Source organism: Homo sapiens, chromosome 6 (genome assembly GCF_000001405.40).
Source record: "Homo sapiens chromosome 6, GRCh38.p14 Primary Assembly".
Classification (NCBI taxonomy): domain Eukaryota; kingdom Metazoa; phylum Chordata; class Mammalia; order Primates; family Hominidae; genus Homo; species Homo sapiens.
Window position 1 is genome coordinate 111,664,254 of NC_000006.12, and position 24,805 is coordinate 111,689,058.

General features: G+C 44.1%; 1 protein-coding gene across 21 annotated transcripts in view, besides 2 other annotated features; it reads right to left on the reverse strand.

Moving 5' to 3' along the window:
* The window catches only part of FYN (FYN proto-oncogene, Src family tyrosine kinase), a 213,121-nt gene that overhangs the window by 3,922 nt on the left and 184,394 nt on the right, over positions 1 to 24,805 (reverse strand). For all 21 annotated transcript variants that reach the window (XM_047418569.1, XM_047418561.1, XM_005266892.5 and 18 more), the window contains one exon: positions 10,246 to 10,377. In XM_047418569.1, the coding sequence (XP_047274525.1) occupies positions 10,246 to 10,377 (132 nt within the window). The remainder of the gene's footprint in view (positions 1 to 10,245; positions 10,378 to 24,805) is intronic.
* Positions 12,997 to 13,920: an enhancer, noted in NCBI's record as "OCT4-NANOG hESC enhancer chr6:111998453-111999376 (GRCh37/hg19 assembly coordinates)". NCBI's record gives its function as "activates a minimal SCP1, AML or CMV promoter by ChIP-STARR-seq in naive H9 embryonic stem cells {active_cell/tissue: H9 hESC(naive)}" and the evidence as "EXISTENCE:reporter gene assay evidence [ECO:0000049][PMID:30033119]".
* Positions 18,517 to 19,018: an enhancer, noted in NCBI's record as "H3K4me1 hESC enhancer chr6:112003973-112004474 (GRCh37/hg19 assembly coordinates)". NCBI's record gives its function as "activates a minimal SCP1, AML or CMV promoter by ChIP-STARR-seq in primed H9 embryonic stem cells {active_cell/tissue: H9 hESC(primed)}" and the evidence as "EXISTENCE:reporter gene assay evidence [ECO:0000049][PMID:30033119]".

Below are 24,805 nucleotides of genomic sequence, written 5' to 3' on the forward strand. Positions count from 1 at the left end.
CAGGAACTGAGGGGAAACAGGCAGAAGGGCCTGACAGATCCTTCTGGGTGCGGTTACAGCCCCTGAAACGCCTCCTAATGCTTGACTCTGGCTCTGAGTGCCTCCCTCCAAAATGGCAGCACAGAGTTTAATTAATCACTCTCCTATTGCTCCACAGAGCGCATGTCAGTACATGTTTCATTTCATTAAAAAACAAACTACTCAAATGGAAAGATTTCACTTAAAAAAAAAGTTTTCATCCAATGTCTGCCAATGGAAAGTTTAATTGGCCACTGGGTCATTTTTCCAGTGCTCGGTCCAAGCCTCAGACACAGCACACTTGGTGATGTGAACCTCAACATGTAGCGTCTCCCGAGGCAGTCTTTCCTGGGCATTTGGAGCCAGGGGACAGGGCATAAGCTGGCCCATGCAGGGTCCTGGCAGACCCACATGGTCAGGCTCCTTCTCGCTCTCCCCTTTCCTGTCTGCACCCCTCCGCTCTTCCCCACTCCTCTTCTTCTCCTGCTTTCTTCTGCCCAGACCTCTCAAAGCAAGGGGAGTATATGAAAACAATTCCACGCACTGGGCCAAGTGGAAACATACCAATGAGGGCTTTGCCAGGAAAGTGGGATATTTTGACAATGCACTTGGCTGACAATGACAATTGGAATGGGACTAGCTCTTTTCCAACCATCCATAAACCAGGACCTGCAACGGGCTGACCTGCAGACCTGGCAACTTCACAATGTACCTCTGCAACAATAACGGTGGCAATCAAGATATGCCCACTCAGCAAGGCTTGGGCTAGTTTTTATTTTATAAACAATAGCTAAATTGAATGGATTGTGTTAATTCAGGGTGAGTATCCCTTCTCTGAAATGCTTATGATCAGGAGTGTTTTAAATTTCAGATTTTTTAGGATTTTGAAATATTTGCATTATAGGGCTGCTCAACCAGTAAGTTGAGCATTCCCTTTGCGTGTTATGTCAGTGCTCAAGAAGCTCCAGATTTTGGTGCATTTTGAATTTCATATTTTTGGATTAGGGATACTTAACCTGTATTTAAAATACAGTATTCTCAGCTATATGAATTTTGAAAATCATGGTTTTTTTAAATAATTTTTTTTAAATGGCTTTTACTCTGCACACTAACAAAAAGATAGGTCTACTTCATTTTTTTCTTCTTAGATGGTTTCATATTTTTGTTAGAAAGAAAACTGTCATTTCCTCTTTTTAGCCACTTTTCCCCAAGACATTGGCTTTACCTAATACCTGAGAGGTGAAGGATAGTGAATAGGAAGGGAATAAACACGAGTTTGGGCACCAGGGCAGTTGGGAGAGTGTCTTGAGAGACATGGGTACACTAGAGAGAGGAATCCTTTTATTTTTTATTTATTTATTTTTTTTTGAGATGAAGCGTGGCTCTGTCATCTGGGGTGGAGTGCAGTGGTGTGATCTCGGCTCACTGCAGCCTCCACCTCCCAGGTTCAAGCAATTCTCCTGTCTCAGCCTCCTGAGTAGCTGGGACTACAGGTGCATGCCACTACACCTGGCTAATTTTTTATATTTTTAGTAGAGACAGGGTTTCACTATGTTGGCCAGGCTGGTCTTGAATTCTTGGCTTCAAGTGATCTGCCCACCTCGGCCTCCCAAAGTGCTGGGATTACAGGTGTGAGCCACCATGCCCAGCCAGAAGAATCTTTTTATTACACTTCCAACTGAGGAGGTGGACAAGAGTGCTGGAAATGTTTTTCCTTTTTCTCCTTTTTTTTTTTTTTTTTTTTTTTTGAGACAGAGTCTCGCTCTGTTGCCCAGGCTGGAGTGCAGTGGCACAATCTCGGCTCACTGCAACCTCCACCTCCCTGGTTCAAGCAATTCTCATGCCTCAGCCTCCTGAGTAGCTGGGATCCTTTTTCTCCTTTCTTAACAGAAAGAAGAGACAGAAACTTTATAAAACATGGTGTCTGAGCACATTTTAGGGAAACAATGTCATAAACAGTTTGGCCTTCCAGGTTTCCTAGTGGGAGCTGCAAGGGAGAGCATTTTTCAACAGGAGGGGAGATCCTGGCTGGCCAGTGGTGTCTGACTGTGGGAAGAGCCACGTTCGAGCAGTATGAATGTTCCCTGGTTCCCACAGAGAGGCGGCTTGGGGCTGGGGAGCCAGCAAGCACAGAGGCCACTGCCCAATTTTGTTCCAACCCTCTCCTCCTCTGCTGTTCTGCCCTTCTAGCCTCACGGGAGCCACCAGCCCCTTCTGCTGTCTCTCTAGAATTGCTCAGGAAAACAGGCCATTGTGGTGGGTCACTTTCATAGGGTACAACTGAACAGTACTCAATCCATAAAACACCTCCAGCACTTCGGGAAGCTGAGGCAGGCAGACCGCTTGAGCTCAGGAGTTCGAGACCAGCGTGGGCAACATGTTAAAACCCTGTCTGTACAAAAAGTACAAAAATTACCTGGGCATGGTGGCATGTACCTGTGGTCCCAGCTGTTCAGGAGGCTGAGGTGGAAAGATTGCTTGAGCCCAGGAGGTTGAGGCTGTAGTGAGCTGAAATGGTGCCACTGCACTCCAGCCTGGGTGACAGAGCGAGACCTTACTAGTCCGCTGTGTGGGGGTCTGCCTTCGAGTCCCTCTTTCCCAGAGCCTCCATGGAACATCTCCTTGTCAACTCAGATTTTAGGCTTTCAAACATGGTCCCCGACATAGCATCATTTCCAGTCAGTCTGCCCCAAACACTGCAACTGAGATTCTCCAGCCAAGAAGACTGTGCTCACTTCCTGCCATTATGATTATATTATCCTTTCTAAATCATGTTGCTGGCTTCCTCCAGCAAACTCAGAGGTCAAGTTTCCAACTCTCACTTTCAAACTCTGACTCTGTAGGGTTGCCAACAGTGTCTATTCTTGTGTGTGTGTTTTCTTTTCCCTTTTCTTTTAAACTTCCCTATTCCACTTCTTTGAGCTGTACATGAACTCAGTAGTCTTCCCTTTTTCCTTTTAGATTCTTTGAAAAAAAATTTTTTAAGGGACAAGGTCTTGCTCTGTCACCCAGCCTGGAGTGCAGTGGCATGATCATGGCTCACTGCAGCCTTGAACTCCTGGGCTCAAGCGATCCTCCTCACACTTCAGTCTCCCAAGCAGCTAGGACTATAGGTATGCACCACCATGCCTGGCTGATTTTTATTTTTATTTATTTTTTTTTTGTAGAGATAGCATCTTGCTATGTTGCCCAGGCTGATCTTGAACTTCTGGCCTCAAGCGATCCTCCCTGCTTCAGCCTCCCAAAGCACTGGAATTACAGCTGTGAGCCACTATACCTGGTCTTCTTTTAGATTCTATAGGGAAGGAATAAAAATCACTTTCATTGGCAGAGCACCGAAATAGATGTCACTTCTTGACTTCTAACTTTGCATCTTTTAGCAAGTGACTTGACTTCCCTTGAACTTGGCTTCTCCATTTGTTAACAAAATACCTCAACATTCATTGTGCTTTCAGCTATCTGAAAAAATGTCTTTTATGAAAGAAGAGTGTTTGTGTTTTATAGCTTTCCATTTGTGCAGCTTCCCAATATGGATCTCAGATGGGCCATATCTGTACAATCAGGGATTTTAAGTGTTACCCGTCCATGTTTGCATCTGGATTTGACTATGGGTTGCAAAACCTGGGTTTTTGTGCCATGTGAATAATTAAGCACTTTAACAATGGGAATGATGTTTAGATTATCAGATACCCAAATTCCTTTTGCTAACTGAGCTTTCCGTTCAAAGGGAATCACACAACGTTGTGCATAAGGCCTTGGGTCTGAGGCTCCCCTTGCTTCTGTGCATAAAAGGCCCGGTGTTTACATGTCTGTTGAGCAGTGCTGTGCTGGCGCTGGGAAGGAGGAGGGGTGTTAATGGTGCTTGCTCAGCATGAGCCTGCGCCATCGCATGTGCTTGTATTAACAGATTCTCATGTGTCCTTGCTATCGTACTGGTTAATAACCGTGACACTGAGTTAGGTTTTAGTATAGGATCATTGTGAAAATTCTGGGCAGGGAGATGCTGATGGAAGAGTGTGGATGAGAATAAAGAACTTATCTTGAGAAGGTACAATAATGACTTGCTTTGTTTCTCTTTCCTCATCTTGCCAGATAACCTCAGGACAGCTGTTTTTATTCAGCCCATTGTATTAATAAACACAGAAAGACAGCTACTCATGTAACTGAATACACAGGTATTTCTGTATTTGAAGTTGATAATACAGTATCATAGAGAACTCCTTTGTCCCAGAAAAAAAAAAAAAAAGGAGTGAAAAAGAGAGGCAGGGTGCCCATGAGGAAGGCCCCGGAACTGCACCCCTGAGAACAAGGAGCACGTGAGGCTGGAACACAGGACTGGGGGCCGAAAGTCCCTCTTTGGCCACCCTCTTCACACGCATTCTCCCCTGGTCTCCCTCCTCCTCTCACTAGACATGCTGGCCAAGAGAAATCTTGTAGAAGGAGGTGACAGCATGACCTCTGGGCATTCCAGGCAGGGTTCCCTCTCTGAGGGGACATCATGAGCTGCAGGAAAAACCCCAGGGACTGTGGACGAGCCAGGGAGAGACACGCACCCTCGGCTAAGATGAGAGCTTTCATTCGGCTTCCCAGTCTCCTCCTGGTTGGAGAGTCCTAACCCTTTCTTCTCCCATGAAAAACCTGCTCCTGTTGTTATGTTGAACACAAAGGAAAATGTATCTACGGTTCAGGGCTCTAAGGCAGAGGGAGGACCAGAGTGGCATTTGGAATCCTTTAAGGAAAAAGCCACCAGTTTCATTAATTTCCCTTATTTCTTCAGGTCATTATCAAGCGACTAGATGTATTCAAGAAAGTCACCTGTTGAATGATTTGAAAGTGCTTCCAATGAATGAATAAGTGTGGTTTGCTTAAGAAAGTGTTCCTGGCCTGGTGCAGTGGCTCACACCTGTAATCCCAGCACTTTGGGAGGCCAAGGAGAGTGGATCACCTGAGGTCAGGAGTTTGAGACCAGCCTGGCCAACATGGCGAAACCCTGGCTCTACTAAAAATGCAAAAATTAGCCGGGCGTGGTGGCGGGTGCCTGTAATCCCAGCTTCTTGGGAGGCTGAGGCAGGAGAATCGCTTGAACCCAGGAGGCAGAGGTTGCAGTGAACCGAGATCATGCCACTGCATTCCCGTCTGGCTGACAGAGCAAGATTCCATCCATCTCAAAAAAAAAAAAAAAAAAAAAAGAAAGTGTTCCTGTTCTACCAGGTCCTGCCAAATCCACAAAACAGGTGTTCGGTTAAGAGCCAGGGCACAGAATAGCCAGGACACTCTGCCTAGAATAGTGTTGGAACATGATGTTTGAAATGATCACAGGGTCAATTTTCCAGAAGAACTTTGAGGACAGAGGCTACCTTGTGGCTAGGAAAATATATATCCATGTGTGAAGATGATGGAATGCAGTTAAAAGGCTTTGCAGGCTATGGGCTAAATTTAAAAACCTTGTTTCAAAAACCTCATAGGTGAGTTCTTTTTTTTCTGTTTCATTCACTCATTTATTTGCTTATACTTACTGACAGTCTACTATGGGGTGGACCCTGTGCTGGACCTCGGGAATCCATCAAAGGGACTCCCTTCTCTGAAGCTGCTGAGAAATACACACAAACGGGGGGCCCAACAGAAATATGCTAGGTGTCATGGAGGCAAGCAGAAGGAGCACCCCATTTGGTCTGGACATGGGGAAGGCTTTCCAAAGCAGATGATGTTCAGTTGGGCTTTGAAGGGTTCTGAGGCAGACAGGGGAGCCACAAAGAGAGACCTGCATGTTCAAGAGACATCTCTTGATGTGTCTTGGTAACGTGTGAAGGATGGAAGACAGCAAGAGAGAAATCATGTCACTCTCCTGCTCAAATCCCCTCACTTCCCACCTCACTAAGACTAAAAGCAAAAGTTTCAACCATGAGCTAGAAAGGCCTTATCTGATTTGCCCCTGGGGCCTCTGGGACCTCCTGCTCCCTCTGCTCCAGCCATGCTGGCCTCCTTTGATTCTGGAGGGTCTCTGCACTCTCCCTTCCCCTGATGGAAGGCTGTGCTCCCAGATACCCACCTGGCTGGATTCTTGCTTCCTTTAGGTCTTCTACTCACCAGTGAGGTGCTCCTTTGCCACTCTCCCCTCTCTCCCCTTCCCTGTTTTATTTTTCTCCCTAGCTGTTACCAGCAGCAAACATTCAATATATTTTGCTTATTTATCTTTGTTTATTGTTTGTCTCCTCAAAGAAGAATGGAAGTCTATGAGGGCAGCAGCATTTGTCTATTGCTTCACTGCTGTATTCTTGGTGCTTGCAACAGTACCTGGCATATAGTAGGTGCACAATAAATATTTGTGGAATGACTACAGAAAAAGAGTTATGAAGAACTATGTAGAATTACGTTTTCTAGGATTTATCTGAAAGGCAAAGGGAAGCCGTGGACGTTTTTAACTAGCAGGGTGAGATAACCAGGTCTGTGTTTTCTAGAATACTAACTCTGTTGGCAACAATGATAGAATGGTGGGTGGGTGGGTGGTGGGGAGGCGGGGAGAAACTGGAAGCAGAGGGGAAAAGAAGGATTTGAGAAAGGTATTAAGGTGAAATGACAGGTAAAAATGCATAACTGATTTTATGCATCAACCCCAGAAAACTGCTTTTACTTAAGTCTTTTTATTTCTCACATACAACAATCCATCAGTATGAAATCAGTTCTAATCTTGAAGTAAAGAAAGCTTCTGAACTCTTGCTTGCAGAAAAGCAAGCTAGACTGCAATGCAGAGAATGCGTTCAGCTCAGGCTGCTAGCGGGGAACTGATGGAGCTCTTCTTTGGAACTGCATCCATACTTGTTACACATCTCGAAAGCAACCTTCCTCATCTGGTAAGGTGATGTAACTTTTCTCTACCACCCCCGTTAATCTCAGCATCATATTTCAGTATTTTTTCCTTCGGCTTCCAGGTTATCATTCAGTTTGAGATTGTCGTCTTCCCTTCTTTTGTCCACTCCTCTCACACAACTTGCCAATGTTCTAACATCTCCGCCTCCCTTTGCCCTTTATTTGGTCACACCTCACATACTCCACTCTAAGTTCCTTCTGGGATTGTCACTTCTGGACCTTCTTTCACGCTGGGCAAAGATGCCTGGAAAGCTTTTATAAAACCAATTTATATGTCACCCCCTCCTCCCGCACCTCCATCTTCACCTACCAGGCAAAGGAGCTTTCTTATGTGTCAAGGAAACAGCAGGCTATTCTCAGGTATGGAAGACTCAGAAAAATGTACCACCATCTACTGTTCTCCAAAAAAGAATTACTTCAAAATATACTCTAGCCAACTGAGACATGAGACATGACTACATCAAAATGCAGAATGGAAATCATGACGGACCGGGACTGGGAGTCTGTCCTGAGGTACCAGCAACAGGCACAAAGACGCAACGTGGGAAGCTGAGAAGGACCCCTCAGCGCACACTGACTGACTTGCCACACCAACAAATAGCAAGAATGCAGAGAGGAAGGTCCTTCTTTGCCTTCACAGTGACATCTGAAGGAAGCTTCGTGAAACCTCTTGTTCCTTAGGAATTATTATCCTTCGTTAGGGTAATAATCCTATAATTGGAATCCCTCTGTAAAAGCTTCTCCCTCAAGAAGAGTTTTCTGTTGGATTCACAAACCCAATTAAATAGGATTATAGCTATGTTAAAAAGCAAAACCCAGGAAGAACCCATGGCTAGGAACAGGCCTGGGAACAATTTTTTGTGGCTTTCTTTGAATGAGGACCAGCTCACGACACCCCCAATGAGGACACGGTTCCCTGGTTGCCACTGCCAACCAGCAAGGCCCCAACGCAGGCTCTCGGCCACCCTTCCAGTCACATCTCCAGGTGTGCCCCTGCACATGGCATCTTCTCAGATTCATCCTGTGGTCCCTGGAACTGTCCTCCCAGGCCTATGTGCCTTCCCACGTGCCAGACCTTGGGATGCTCTTCCCGCCTTCTGGGCTTGAGGAAACCTACTTGGCTTCCAAGGTCTGGCTTACTTGCCTTCCCTACACAGCCCCCTCTCCAGCACTCCTCCACAGCTAGAGGCAGTTATCACAGCCCACTGCAGACCAGCACTTGCTCACAGCTCTCTCTGCAGGAGCCGCTGGAGTTAGTTCTCACTTCAAACTCCTCTGCCATCCTCACAGGACTCAGCTTGAAGAGTCCCTCTCAGGACCTGCTGTGTGTGGATACCTGGATCAGGTGTCCCTGACCCCATTATCAGAATGAAGATCTAGGCCCCATAGTAGGTAAAGCCAAGTAGTCCATCCTTTCAGGATGACTCCCTCTGATAATAAACAAGGAATAAAGAAGGCTGGTTTCTTCCTGGATTTGATGCACATTTTATCTATCTGACTGTAATATCCATGAACATAGGGACTAAATTTATTTACTTGCCCACTGTGCTAACAATGCCTAGCCTGAGGCAGGTACTAATCAAGGCTTGTTTAGAGTATGAGGGTCTTATTTGCACTATCTCCCCGATAGAGGAAAATGCCTGGCACAGTTCACAGTGACTGAAGCTACGCTGAATGAATGAATCCTGGTCTAAGTGGTAAAATGAGGGCATTTTCTTTATGCTAAAACCAAACCTGACAAAAGACTCCCTCAGAAACACGCACCTGCCTTCCTTCTCCAAGGCCCCCACCTCCACCCCTTTGTCTTGGTTTCTGTGTGAGACCCTGAGAAACAAAAAGCTGCTTTGTATTACTGGAAGGGAAGGCTTCACAGAAACGCAAAACAACATTAACCTTTTCTCCCCAGTTGCATTTAACACACAGGGTGACTATAAACCTGGGAGGGATCAGGAAGAAATCAGTTCAAAATTCAGACAATAAATAAAGAAGAGATGCCTTCACATCCTCGCCCTCCTGAGACCCGCACATTTCCCCCCTTGAGAAGCAATTCAGAAACACCCACGCTGTGCTCCATCCCCCAGGGCGGCCCTTTCTTCTGTGCTGGTTGGCGATTCCCGGAGTGTCTGCCCGTGTGTGCATGCCGGGAGCAGCAGTCACCGCAGCATCAATAAAACTGACTTACACCCGCATCTCTAAACGCCCAGTGCCGGCACTTCAGAGACTGGGAATTTGTCAATTTTGCCTCCATGTCAACTTGGCTCTCCTAGGAGTCTCAAGGCTACACCAACCCAGAACGAGATTATCTTGATGTGCCCCTCTCTGTGTTCTCTGAAGATGACCAGAAACAATCATAAAAAAGGAACAAAGGGATTACAAATTAATCTGCCTTCGCTAGCTCCTCTGACTGCAAAGCTATGATTACAAACCCAGGATTTGCAAGAGACCTAAATTCCTCATTAATCGTCACTATCGTTTCTATCATTGTTTTTTTTTTTTTTTTTTTCTTTAAGCTCCTTTCTTACGCAGGGAATGAGGGGGAGCTATGTTCTTTCTTCACTCAGCAGTAACTGAAAAATATGTCCTTAACATTTCAAAAAAGCAGATCGTCCCTGTGCTATAACCACTAAAGCGTGGAGGTGAAATGGCATGGGTGTCCTTTATGTCACCATCTGTCGACGTTAATCAATTTAAGCATGGATAAGCCAAACTCGTGGTTTCTTTGGAGAGCATAAATCTGATAATACAGAAACATTCCAGAGTCTAAGAATTTCCAATTTCTTTACATTATACTTGCTTTGGTATAGCATGTTTTGACTGTTCAGCAACAGGCAGTGAGTGGCTCTAAATTGCATTTCACATGTGCCTCTGCTCTCTTTGGCCATCTGGAGCTGGGTCCTGTGGAGAGAACAGGTCCTGGCACCTTCCTGCCAGGCTCACTCCATGGGTCAGTGCTACAGTGTAATCAAAAAGCAGTGGGGCTTTTCTCCTTCTCTTTCCCAGACATGTCTGCAAACTCCATTTGGGCAGAGGCACTGCCAGTGACATTTCTGCTCTGGGAACCACAGACACATACTCCTACTGAGAGAGGAGAGATTCTATGAACTGGAGGGGGACTGAAGCATTTAGACCAGCTGCTACTTACATTAATCCTGGCACACAGTTCATGGTGGCTGCTTGTCTACATACATGGTGGCTCCCAGTTCTGCTTTTCTCTCGCTGAATACCTGGCCATGTTCTTCAAACTCAAGCTCAGCAGAAAGCTGAGGATGGGGCTTAGAAAGCAAAGTGGATGAAGTTTTCCCAAATGGTGTCAAAAAAGCCTCCAATCTCAGGCCCATGTCTGTGAGGCCCTGCTCTTACCTGGGTATGGCACTCTTCCTTTGGTGACCAGCTCTGTGAGTAAGATTCCAAAAGACCACACGTCAGACTTGATTGTGAACCTCCCGTACAGGGCTGCCTCGGGGGCCGTCCACTTGATGGGGAACTTTGCACCTGCAGAATGAACACTTGGTTATTCATCAGGCAGAGGGCACTGCAATGGGCATGGGGTGTGGGAGGGAAAGGCACTTGGCAAGCTACTTTCCTGAGAGCAGGTTTAGAGGGGAAGACAGAAAGGAGGTGAAGCAGGAATGGGCTGGGATTGGGAAGATGTAGGGTCTGGTCTTGACTGTGTGACCGTAAGTAATCCAGCTCAAAGCACCTTAGTACCTCAATAAAGGGGGGAAGAAGCCCTGGTTTCTTATGATTTAGGAAAATTATATATATATTTAACTTTGAAATAATGCTATGTTTTAATAAACATACATAGGATTTAGTCATAATGCTGCTCTCATGAGTCCTCGGGTATATAAGATAGTGTGGTCTCACTGGGTACACAAAACCTGATTAAACCACTGAGCTGCTCCCAGGGTGGGGACAACTGGATACTGCCCATGTGTTCTGCTGAAATGTGTTAGATTTCCCAAAGGCCTCCCACACCCACAGCAGGGAAAGGAATCTGCCTCCAGCTCCTTCTCTCTCCACATTTGCTGTTTTTCCTCCATTCTTTCTCCCTGTAGTAGCCATCTTTACTCCTGGGATAGTTTTTTCTTCCATACTGTAAGATCACTTTCTTACCACTTTTTCTTCTACCACCCAGCAAGAGTACTATTTAATGTTTGTTTTTTAAAGAGCAGTTCTGCCTCCATGACTGTCTTATGAGTCTCTGACTTTTCAAGACCAAGGTGCAAATTCATGTCAAAGTCAGTGGAGTCCTTTTTTTCAAAAATTTATTTGATCATTGAAAGAATCCTGTCTCTAAACCAAAAGGAAGGGTGTGGTCCACCTTGCTTTCTACAAGCTTGATGTGTGTGCAGGGAATTAAAAGGGATTCAGGCCGGGTGTGGTGGCTCACACCTGTAATCCCAGCACCTTACAAGGCAGAGGCGGGCGGTCATTTGAGGTCAGGAGTTCAAGACCAGCCTGGCCAACAGGGTGAAACCTCGTCTCTACTAAAAATACAAAAATTAGCCAGGCATGGTGGCACGAGCCTGTAGTCCCAGCTACTTGGGAGGCTGAGGCGGGAGAATCACTTGAACCCAGGAGGCAGAGGTTGCAGTGAGCCGAGATCGTGCCATTATACTCCAGCCTAGGTGACAGAGCAAGAGTCCGTCTCAGAAAAAAATGAAATAAAATAAAAATAAATAAATAAATAAATAAATAAAATAAAATAAAATAAAAGGGATTCAGCAGCTTGTGCTCTCAAACATTCAGCTCAGCAATTATAAAGCAGTTCCAGGTATTTTACTGAACAAACTAAAAGAAAAACACAAGGAATTTTTATTACTTATGGAAACACAGTTACATGCTTAAAGCATGTTCATTCTGCTTAAGGAGCTCCTGAAAATCATACAAAGGCTGACAAAATCAGAACATTTCATAGAATCTTCTATAAAAAGTCACTATGTACAAAAGTGGCGAATGATTAAAATATTTAAATTGGCACAGTTTTAATAGCCAGAGGTATGATAAATTACAGCAATTAGATTTTTGTCTTAAATACAGCATATGATAACATCTTTAGTAAATCTACCCTGGCATTTTCAGGCAATATAATTTTCCTCTCCATCTCTCATGTGTCTGTGTGAAATGAAATGAAAGAAAAAAATCCTACTATTTCATTATGAGGCATCTCACATTAACACTGGAGCAGAAAAGTTATTCTATAGTTTTCCTTTTATGCATGGAGTTATTTTTAATTAGTTATGTTTCTCAGGCATAATTATTTATATCTTTCCTTACGTGCTAGATGATTCCACATAAGACCTGGTATTCTCTGAATAGTCAGTTGTTTTGTTTTTAAGGTTTCTTTCAAAGCATTCTTCTCACACTTCCTATCCTTTAGCATTCTGTTCACGCAGCTTTGGACTCTGAGCCACTGGGATTAATGTGATAGATTTTCTTCAATGTTGAGAGCAGACTTTGCTCTGGACCAAACCTCAGCTGGAGTTCTCTTACTTCAGAGAATTAAAGGTATACTACATTCATTCCTATTTAAACCATCTCTTGAGCCAAATGGCTTGGAAATCTCTGACCATCTCTGAAGTAAATGGAACATTTTTCTCTGCTGTGCAGACAAATCCTGTAAATAAAATGACAACCAAAGGAGTTGTTTTTCCCCTTCTTTGAATCACTCAACATTGGTGAAGGTGTGTGTGTTGCTGAAAGTGACTATTTAAAATTTGGATACTGTCATGTTAGATTTTCCAAGGGATTTCATAATTTCAGATTAAAAAAAACCAACGGCAATATCAGCCAGTTGCATTAGTCAGCTTTATTATTTTCTCATTTTATAATCTACAATAAGGATTATAATATATAAACCTTCAAAAAATGTTAAAACAAAGGCTGCATTAATGTAAGGAATCTTTGAAAGGAAGTCATTTGTAGATATGTGGTCTGAGTTACTACTAGTCGGAACTTACTTAAATTTGTTTTGTATTAATTTTCTTTCTAAGGCAAGCAATATATTTACACCAAACAATGTATTTATAATGTATTTGGAGGAATAAAACATAATGTCTTTGTCCAACTTCTCCTGCTTCTTCTCTGTCTTAAAACAGCAGCTGCTTTCAACAAAAGAAGCTTCTTTATAGATAACTCATTTTCCTTTTCAAGGAAGACAAAAGGTTAAATCAAAGCAGCAATAAGGTATTAATGATTAACTGAGGTTTCTACTGAAAAGAGCTAATCCCTGCTTCCTCTTGGACACATCTCATTACTTCTGTTTCCCCTTATCTTGGCTTCCCACCTCCTGAGGGTACAAAGCTATTGGCCCTAAAATGCAGCTCTAAATGTGGTGGAGTTAACTGGGGATTTTTGGCAGGTGTCTTTAAAACTAGCCTTGCAGGTTGCACAGTGTAAAATCCCAGTCTATGAAAACAGCATCCCTAAGGTTGTGTAGTACATAACCTATACAATCCCACAGATGTCCCTGCTGCAGGGCTGCTGCAGTGAGCTCTGTAAGTTAGGAGACTTCAGACACCTTGAAGGAAGGATCTCCTGGGTGTAAACGTTGCCTTTCCCTTGAAAGTAAAGTTCTGACAGGCAAAAAGTCAGAATCAAAGTGGTCTTCTAAGTAGTATGGACTTACAGAACAACGGAGAAAACATCAGGAGAACCGCAATGCAGTTAACTTGGAATTGTTATGTAACTAGCTGATTCACACTTTGAAATTCTTCTGCTTGGGAGCAGGATTTAGATATGAAAACAGTTTTCTCCTCCTTGCATTTTATTTAGAGGAAACAGAGCAAACTATGCAGGTAATGATCATCTATGTCACTGATATCTTGAGCTTCACTGTAACACTTACTGTACTTGTTCCATGTTTACATGAATTCAAAAAAAGAAGTGACCACTCTGTCATTTCTTACTGAATTAGCTTAACAGTTTAGGATTCTTTAGGATAAGCCAATACACGAAGGCCATAATATGTGTGTGTGTGTGTGTGTGTGTGTGTGTGTGTGTGTGTGTGGTGTGTGTACTTGGAAGCATCTTTTCCACTGAATGTTTTCCAGGTACTATTTGCAAATTTTACCAAACTCCCAAGGTAAACTCATTGCCGAAACCTCGACTTGTCATTGTGAAAACTTGACAACCTGGTGTTGTCACTGGTACCCATGTCCTAGAACTTCCATGTAAGAGGATCTTTGTGCCTTAGTCATTTAACTCCCAGGAACATATATAAGACCAGTTAGCCTTAGGCTGAATTATTCCTGTAATGAATAAATGTGTCGATGTTTTAAATAATTTCTGATATACAGCTCAATCCTGTTTCTCTGAATTCTGTTGAGATATGAAATAAGTGGTCACAAACTCTGTGTAATATCAGGGATCTTATTCAATCCCATGGCTCCAATGACTATCTTGACCCCAATGATGCCTGCATTTATATCACCAGATGGGACCTCTCTCTCGAGTCCCTGACTTGCATAACCAATTTCCCTCTCAATTGTCTCTCCATGAAATTGGTTATACAAGTCAGTGCCCCTCAAATGCAACATCCAAAATTTATCTTCCCCACAATTTGGCTTCTCAATCCTTGGTGACTTTGTAAACCACCCAGTTGGTGACAACAGAATCCTGAGAATCATCCTCACCTGGACACTCTATTTTTCATCACTGTGCACTCAGATCCCAGCACAGGGCCTGCCTATTGAAGGAGGTCAATACATCTTTACTGAATGATCTCTGTGCTCTCCTGCTTTGTCCCTGCCCGTGTCAGGTCCATTACATCCTGACCATTTCATGATCTTGAATTCACTACCCTTCCTCTAGTCCTCGCTTGCTCAGCATGTCCCCCCCTGGGTTTCTATAGTAGCCTTCTAATAGAATCTACATGCATAATCTGGTCCCTACCTACTTCCCCAGCTGCTTCTTATCATCCCAGACTTGTTCTCCTCTGCTTCCCTCCTCTCTCCTCTGCAACCTCTCCATTGCCCTTCTTTGACTGCTTTGCAAATGCCAAGCTCCTACCTGCTTCACGGACAGGCTATTTCCTTTATCAAAAGCCCTTAACCCATGGCTAATTCTTACTTCTCTTTTGCTCCTAGCCAAAGTGTTACTTGCACAGGGAACCTTTGCCTGATCACTAAAGACTGCGGTAGGTTTCCTACTTCTATGCTGCCAGAGCACCTCCCTCTTTGTAGTTGTCACTACTTTTTTTCAGTAAATATTGCCTAACGAAGCTGTTATTATTAAAGGGCAATGAATGCATGAATTGTCTGAAGGCTGTCTCTGCCCCAGATAAATACTGTGCTTGAGTGCTGGAGCATGTCTTCCCAGATGGCCACATCTCCAGTACTGAGTACAGTGTCTGCTGCAGAGAAAGCACTTGATAAACAGGTGCTGAATGAATGAATGAGTAGCTGGTCAGCCCTCCCAGCCCTTCCCTTTTTGGCTGAATAACCACAGTTCCTTACAGAGCGTATTATCAGTTCCCTGCCCTCTGGTGAGTCTTCTACTTGTCCTTGGTGACAGCACCAGTGTCACTGTCTGGATGTCCTTTTAAGAGTCTAAGAATTGCCAATTGAAATAGAAAAGCAACAGCCACACACTAATGAAACTTAAAACACCTGGAGAACCCTGCATTTTCACTGCCAAAGGAAGTGTGTTCAGATCCCCTTTGGGTCGGAGTGAATGTATCTGAGTGGGGGAGCCCCATACTTTGTTCTCTGAGGACAAGGGGGCCCAGTTCACTGGGGCTGCAGCTGGGGATGGGGGTGGTTAGTTACAACAGCAGAAAGACGAGGTGGCAAGGGGCCTTGGGAGAGTTCACAGTGAAACAAAGTGGAAAATCCTTAATAGACTGGATTAAGAATAAATTCTTAATAGACTGGGATGAATGCAAGTGACTAGACATCAACCATTTTGACCTCACCAAGCCCTGGTCTTCCTCATTTAAAATAAAGTTAATAATCATCCATGCTTCAAGCAAGAGAAAGGAGAGGGCTGTGGATTTATTCAGTTATCAAAGTTTGTCCACAGAAATAACAACACAAACACCCACCACTGCTGGGCTGGCTTGTTCTTTCTTCCTACCACAAGTATTTCTGGAGTATTCCCCAGTGCCTGGCACTGCACTCGGTGCCAGGAGGACGAAAGGGAACACAGTCTCTGGCAGTCATGGAGCTGGAAGCTTAGTTTGAGGGAGATAAAATAAATGAATGGCTATTATATATGTCAACTACAATAAAGTGCTATGAAGAATAATAAGATGGGGTACAAGGACAGATTTTGTGGGACTCTGTAACCTGTACTAGGATTTTGGATTCCATCCTAAGCGCAACAGAAAGTCACTGGGCTGTGAGCAGAAGTGCGATGACTTCCCACGTCGTTCTTTCCCCTTGTCTTTTAAAACATGGAAGATAACACATCATTACCTTGAGAATGACTTATGATGAGACAGAATGGGAAAAGTGTTTTGACTTTTCAAAACTCTTCAAAAGCATCGTGACATTTCAAGGCCCATGGGTGTCTATCAGCAATTAGCAATTGGGTAGATGATGCTTCCATTGTCACTTCTGTCATGTTTACTTAACGAGTGGCTCTGGGTACATTTGTACTATTTTAGCACACTTCTCACATGTGAATAATACCAATAATTTCGGTAACAAAGCAGTAAAACTTAGCATATTCCAACCCGCAAAGCTCAAACATTTCTATGAGAAATGCATGAATTATTTTTCTGAGTTTATTCTTCCCCATGTCCTTCCTTTCTTTCCAAGCATTTTGTGTGTCTCCCCTGTGGGCTCTTCTTCTTGCTTGGGCTTACTCAAGCAAGTTTCCTGCCTCTCCTGAGTAGCTAGGATGCTAGATGTGCACCACCATGCCTGGCTAATGTTTAATTTAATTTAATTTTTTTTTTTTTTTGAGACAGTCTCACTCTGTTGCCCAGGCTGGAGTGCAGTGGTGCAATCTTGACTTACTGCAACCTCCACCTCATGGGTACAAGCAATTCTCCTGTCTCAGCCTCCTGAGTAGCTGGGACTATTGGTGCACGCCACCATGCCTGGCTAATTTTTGTATTTTTAGTAGAGGCGGTGTTTCACCATATTGGTCAGGCTGCTCTTGAACTCCTGACCTCAGGTGATCCACCCACCTCGGCCTCCCAAAGTGCTGCAATTACAGGCATGAGCCACTGCACCTAGTTTAATTTTATGTTTTGTAGAGATGGGATCTTGCTATGTTGCCCAGGCTAGTCTCGAATTCCTGGGCTCAAGTGGTCCTCCTGCCTTGGTCTCCCAAAGTGCTGGGACTACAGATGTGAGCCACCGTGCCTGACCTAACTTGGTTCTTGCTACCCCAAACACAGTTAATCTAGTTCAGTTTGCTTTACTATAACCTGTGTCCTGCACTTAGCATGCTCACACTTGTTTCTTTTACATTGGCTTTGGAAATGCTCTCTTTCTCTTCACCTGCTTAGCTACAGCCTCCTCAGCTCCAGTCCCACCTCCTTCATGAAGCCATCTGTGATTACTCCAGCCTTCACTAATCTCTCCAATGCACCTAGCGCCAGTGCTAGAAACAACAGTTTAATGCTTGATAATAGCAGCTACCACAATAGCTAAACATACACTGAGCGCTTGCTAAGAGTCAGGCATGCAAAGCACTGGGCACATGAGGTGGATGCCAGCAATAGTCTTGTTCTACAGATGAGAAAACGGAACACCGAGAGGAAAGCAATGTGCCAAACAAAGGACAAGTGTAGATGACAGAACTGGGATTTGAACCGAAGGTGCCAGAGCCTGACTGCATAAACACTATACACTGTTCCACTGTGTCCATGTCTCCTCTGTGTCCTTTTACTAGTTCTTTCATAAGTTATTTAAAAAATCTCCTTAAATAGAATGCAAATCCTTTGAGGTTGGAGACACATATTTCTTCATAGCAACTTGCCTAAGGCTGGTTAAACAGCAATAAATGCTCTAACTAGCTAAAGGGTCCAGCCAGGCAGTAAGTTATCTGACACCCTGACGGTCAAAGTAATTCTCTTCCTTTACACAGACTTAATCAAACTAAACGCAAAGAGTGTCAATACAGTGGTGTAATAAACTAATAATTTTCTTCACTCTTAAAAGTTATAGGAATAAAATCTTCCTTTCATACGACAGCACAGCCTGACTGATGCTCTCGGTTTTTCAGTGCCAACAGGATGACTGCCCAAAGTCATCATGTCAGGATGGCCCATCCCAAGCCCCAGGCCACATTCCAGTTAATGAAGTCCCTCTATCCCTAGTGGCCAGGTAATCTGTTTTTCACTTCTGCCTCAAATAGAAATAGCTTACTTGACTCAGTTACTTCCTGTTCTTTATGTGTTTTCATACATTAAGATGATGGCATGGGCATTTCAAATGCTCCAATGAAGACTGCAGATACTTTTGCTGCCAAATCACCTCCTGCAGTAAGAGTACATAAGCCGGCCAGGAAACGAGGAGTGGATGCTCTTCAGTGACAATGCAAAGTGGTCCGATTGTGGGCTGAGCTGGGATTGAGTGGTCACTTGTGGAAGGACCACTATGATCATTTAGGAAAGGAGCTTCCGAGTCAGGTATCCCTGTGCTTGCACACTGGATTTGCTGGTTGATCATTTAAAACATCCCTAAGTCTCAGTTTCCTTGTCTGTAAACTGGGGATGATAACCTCCTAAGGTTGTGGTGGGAAGAACAGTTGATGTAAAAGGCTCAGCACAGCGTCTGGTACCTGGTAATAGCTGAATAAATACCAGCTGTTATTTTATTCAGATAGTAAAGGCCTAAAGTCCCTGAGTTGCACTGGCAAATGCCATCAGCAATGCCAAAGCTCTCCAAACATCAGAAGAGGAAAAGAAGATGAAAAAACCCTCCTAATCAAAACACTCATCAACCAATCACTGAGAATCTTCTGAGGGTCCATGATGTCCCCAGCACCCTGTGAGGCGCTCCTGGGAAAACCAAGCACAGGTTGCCTCCGCCCTTGGGGTTTCTAGGCAGCCAGGGAGACAGACTTCACGGGCAAACCCAACAGAGAACTAAATGGTGGCACTGCCTTTAGGAAGAAGAGGGCTCAGCAGAGACAGGAAAAGAGAACATAAGCAGGAGATGAGGGCTTCAGGGAGAGGCAGCCGCATTGGAATGATGCAGCATGACCCATGGCTCTCCTTGCGGTGGGGAGGGTCACGGCAGGGGCCAGGACAGGCCTGGGTGGGCCCAGCTCACATCTCCGGAGAGCTGAACTGCCAAGTCTCTCTCTTTTTTATTTTTCTTGGTGACCAGGCCAATTCCATAGTCTCAGAGAATATCCCCTCTGGCTAAAAAACTAGGCCAAGGTGGAGAAGGTGAAGTCAGTATTGAATAAAAGAAGCCAAATCCTTCCTACAGAGAATCTGAGCTGTGCCCTAATAGCATTTTCAAGGAGGAAACCCATTAACTTCAACAATAGACACTGTTTTTCTGAACCAAAGAGCCACCCAGAGCCCTTTTTAATTATAAAGCCACTAACTCTGCAAATTATTATATCCAATATTTAATAGTATGCAATAATTCAACTTGAAAGTTACTCTGGGTAATAAAACAAAAAAAAAAAATCACAAACAATGCCAATAACAGAAATTTGGTTTACAGGAGGGGGAGGTGACAAGGCGGTACCAGGACAGGATATCCTGTGAAAGAAGCAAAATCAAAGCTGACCTGACCTGGAACTTTGTGGTTATTTAAACAAAACAATGATTTCAAACCCAATGAAACTTGGCAAAGCAAAACTCAGAATTTTCACACTAGGCCAAAGGAATGACTTTCAGATTTCCCAAATGCTTCTGAAGTAATACAACTGGGTGTTTTCCAGTTATCCCCGGTGACGCACTCTGTTGAAACTTCTACTTCAAGTTCATAAAGTTTTAGCATCATGTTTTTTTGAAAAGTATATGTTACAATGGGTTAAGATTATATTCCATCTGAAATTTCATAATGTTGAGCAAGAAGTTTGAGAAGGAGGGAGGTTGGGAGGAAGGAGGAATGCTGTCCCACCGGGGATGTGAGTGGAGAAGGGACAAGTTAGGCCAAGGAGGACAAGAACCAAGGAGTGGAAGGTGGGCCCGAACATATTGCAAAGATAAGGTTGATTAAGTAGGCACAGATCCAAAGTCTGGTTGAGTGGAATCCATGGAAGGAATATTCAGGCTGAGAGGGGTGAGGAAAGTTCCAAGAGAGCCCAGAGTTCAAGACTGGACAGAGAAGAGACAGAAGGTCCATCAGTGGGTATTAAAAATTGAACCCAGGACAACTAGAGGACACAGGGGAGTAGGCTCAGCTACCAGGGAGAATGCAGGGGCAAGGCTGGACTCTAGGTATTAATCCTGGGGTTTTGCAGTCGGGGAAGGATAGGCAGGATAAATTGTGGAAGGGCATTCGATCCAGACATGGAGGCTACCAGAAGGTAAACTGTGACATTCCTTCCAAATATCCCTAGAGGAGCCAGGAAGTGAAGGGAGGAAACTCTGGGCTGCTTGCCTTTCTCCATCACCCTCCTTGCAACGGTGACCAATGACAAACCCAGGGTAACTTATGGGGGCAACACAAAAGTAGAGGATAACATTAATGGGCATCTCCTGAAACTGTGGGTATTTAGTCCTTTTAAGAAGGAAATCTGAGAACCATCGAAGGGACTTTCCTTGGAGTACAGACTGTGTTATGGAGGCTTATTTAAGTGGTTATCTTGGGTGGGACTGAAGAAAAAAGGAGCCCTGCTTGCTGTTCTAGAATACTGAGGCTCTGAATAATTCCAATTATCCTTCCAGTTTCCGAAGAGCCAGAAAGGAAGTAATATCAGAATAAAAATTCTGTAACTTGATTACCTCTGTAAAGAGAAAACAAAACAAAACAAAACAAACAGAATAAAAATTCTGATTCACAGCTTCAACAGCATAAACGCTATGTTTGCGGACTTTCAATCCAGAACAAAAGACAAGAGCTTTGTAACCAACTGCACACTGCTGCCCAGGGTGGTGAGAGGAACTCACCTGAGTGATCAACGGATGTGTGGGATGTAGCTCAACACAGAAATGATGCCAAGAATCCAGCCACCCCCAGAAGGGGCAGAGGGCCCGTGTCAGTCTGACTTCATGCCACATGACGAGCTGGGCTGCATGGGCAGCACTGGGTTTGGGGATACTGTGTGGGAACAGTTGGAGGTCACGGGGTTTGACTGGGAGCTCAGAACATATCAAAGGATAATAGGATATACAGAAGACAAACATCACTTTGGGGTGGCTTTTTCAAACCGCTCCCCTTTTCAATCTGGTACAGTGTCTGTGCCAATGGGGGAGCCACCCTGGGGATGGCAGAGCAATGCCACTGAGCCCCCTCCTTTGGCTGTAAGAAATGAGGCTTCAGAACTTGGGGCAGTTTACAAATGTACTGCGTGTCCATGATTACCCAGATGATGCAAATGCAGGAGTTCCTTTTGCCAGCAAAGCAAGACAAGGAAGCCAACTGACATTTTTGATGTTTGATGGCAGTCTACAGTTCCTATTTACACACTTTAAAATCACAGAGGGTGACCATCTGCTTCCTTCTTGATGATTACCAAGAAACGTGGGCTGCACAGACTGAGGACTTGCTCTTGACCATTCATAAACAACCATCAAAAGGCTCTGCCCAAAACAGCACAAAGGAGAAAGAGATGCTCACACAGAATACAAAATGGGACTGACCAGCACAGATAAAGGGGAAAGGTGTGCAAAGAAGCTGGGCTTGAGGTGACCACTGCTTACCTCCAATCCATTTGTATCCTCTGGGCAGAGTCAGAGCTGCCCGAGGGTGGGAATGAAAGAAATTGGTCCCATCTCCGACCTGAAACAGTTTTAATCTTTAAAGAGAGACTGTAGTAGGAAAGGGTGATTTAGAGTCCCTTTTCTTTTAATTTTCATCTTTGGCTTTCAACACACCCTTTCCGGGAGGAAAATGGATGCGCTCTACAATTCATCTCCATTTCCCTGCCAATTTGACCTGCTCCCCCTAACTATTAATCTGGGCCCCGAAGCTCCACGGTGGCTCAGCAGATAAACAAAGCCGTCCCTCCCAGAAACGAGGTGGAAGCTCAGAGCTTGAAGCGACAGAATACAAATGAAGGAGCTTTTCTGCTTAGTGACTGAAGTGTACCAAACTCGGATCCGGGAAGCTTGATTACAAGCAGCACGGTTCAGGCATGCGACTCAGCTCAGCGGGAAAGCCGTGTCTGACCTCGGAGGGCAGGGCATTCTGTCGGGCAAGTCCCCTGGGGTCTCTCCCTAGACAGCCCTCAGGATGATAGACTCTCAATGTGGGCTGGGGAGGTGGGGGTTGGCATGGTCATTTTATGGCGGCACCACTGAGTTGGGAACACACTAGTCGGTGCTTAAGACAATGGCTTGCATTTTAAAGGGTTTGCTTTTCATGAAAGGATGGTTTGCTTCTCTAGCATGGGAAGAATTAGATTAAATTCAGTAATTAAAAAGGTTTTTTTTTTCTTCCTTTTCTCTCTCCTGATATTTGCTGTTCAGGTCACAGCACACTGTGCGGGAATGGCAATGCTGTTGTTGACAGAGAACAAGAAATTCATGTGCTGACGGGGGCAGAGGGAGGGCATCTCACGGCGAGATCAGCCTTGATCTGCCACCGGATTACAGGGGCCTCAGAAGCGGCTGATTAATAATTCTGCAGGAGCCCTTGAGCTGGAAAGCTGGCGCTCTGAGTCTAATAATCCCCAGTCGTTGTAATACAAAGGAAGGACAGGAATTGAATTCACAGTTCTGGATTGTGAAATTCAAAATTCGAAAGAAACAGGGATCCACTTCTTCCTGAGTGTGTTTGTCAACCTAGCTGCCTGCTTGTTTGTGTTAAATGGCTACTGTGCTTTTTGAATCTAAAATCTGATTATATTTAATTAGTACAGGCATCTGGGATTTCTAATACACAAAGAGTTATTAAAGTAACAAATCTTTCTAAAATATGTTTTCTATGAAAGAATGTGTTAATTTATGCGGTAACAATTTTTTAACATGAAATAATTAACATGAAAACTGCAACAGTTAGTAATTCTTCGTAGTCTAATTTATACTTGAATTTTCCTCCAGACAATAATCTATTCAATTTAAACCCTCAATACTGGGAGCATTTGAACAGACACATTTTTCTTCTTCTATTTAATACATAAGCCTAAACTTACAGCAGTCTTATACAAAGACCCGAATGTTCCTATTTTTATTTACAGTCCAAAGATCCAAAGATTATGTTTCCTTGACATTTGTTTCATTAATTTTGAACTTAAAAAACAAACCAACCAAAACCATAGAGCAACCCCAGTTCCTGTCCTTCATGAGGATTCAAATCAGGAGAAAGGATGATAGAGGCAGAGCCTCCATGTGGAAGGAGCCCTGATGGGAGCGATCAGGAAAACCCAAAGTGGGGTGGGTGGGTGTGTGTGTGTGTGTGTGTGTGTGTATGTGTGTGTCAGAGAGAGAGAGAGAGAGAAACACAGCTATTGGCATCCATTGGATCAATATTATAATAATATTACTATTACTACTACTGCCAACTACCACTATCAGCTCAGTGTTGGCTTTGTGCCAACTGCTTTATGGTTATTCACAGGGAAGCCATACAATTCTATGATATAGATAACTATTATTATCCCTATTTTAAGAGGAAGAAATAAAAGCTCAGACAGGTTAAGCAACTTGTTCAAGGTCTCACAGTGAATTGGCAGCAATGCTAGGATTTATACCAAGACACTTTGATCTCATGGGTCATGCTCTTAACCAGTCCAGGCCCTGCCCTCTTTGGGAGGGGACTGAGGTGTATGTGGGAAGAAGAAAAGAGGTCAAGCTATCCAAAAAAAACCCAAAAAACAAAAAACAAACCAAAATAAAACAGAACAAAAAAACTCCAAAGTGTTGTGGGGAGGAGCTGGAAGAAGTGAATAATACCAACAACTTCTACTAATTGTCTTCTTGAATTCTTACAACCACCTTAAAGGTAACCAACACCAATCCTATTTTATGATGAGAAAGGTGAGGCTCAGAGGGGCCAGAACTTATGCTCTAGGAATACGGCGTCAGGATGTGAACACAGGCTTATCTAGCTCCAAAGCTCTTGTGCTTCCCATCACTCCAAAGACAATCTTGGAGTGTGCAAGGAATATCAATGCAATAAACAACCCTTTCTGGAGGTTCCTGCAGCCACAACAGCATTTGATTCCCAGAGAGAGCCATGCACATTGATGAGAGACAGCAGGAGAGCATGTCTCACAAGAGTGTGGGGGGGTTGGTGACCTTGGTTATTTCCATTGCTGTAAACAAATATTTATTAAATACTACTATGTGCTCTGTGTCTACAAGGGCCCGCTGCTAGTCTTTAAACTAAATCACTTCTATAGAGAAGCAGTAAGACCGACTCCACAGATACTCGGGAGAACTGCTCCAGCCGTGCCCACGCAGCGTGTGTGTGCTCATGCAGCGTGTGTGTGCTCATGTGTGCTCATGTTGATGTGTGTATGCACATGCCTCAGTGAAAATGCTGAGAAGGCCCATCTGATATTCAGACTTCACAAGATTAAAAACAAGAGAGGCAGCGCAGAGGCAGGGATAGTTCTCAACAGAGAATGCAAATATGAGAAAATAGGCAAGCTGGCCGGAGATGAGGACAGTGGATGTGTGACTCCCCGCTGTGTCCGGGGTGAGGGGGCCCTTGGAGCATGCAGGTATATCAAAGTGGTGACTGCCCAGATCCACTGACTGGCCTAGGCTATAAAATAGGGAGACAGTATTTTTTTTCTTGAAAGATTGATTTTTTCCCTATTTATTACTAATAGTGATTCTCTTTAAAAACTTTTTAGACTGTTTTCAAGGAAAATGTATGTCAAATACAAA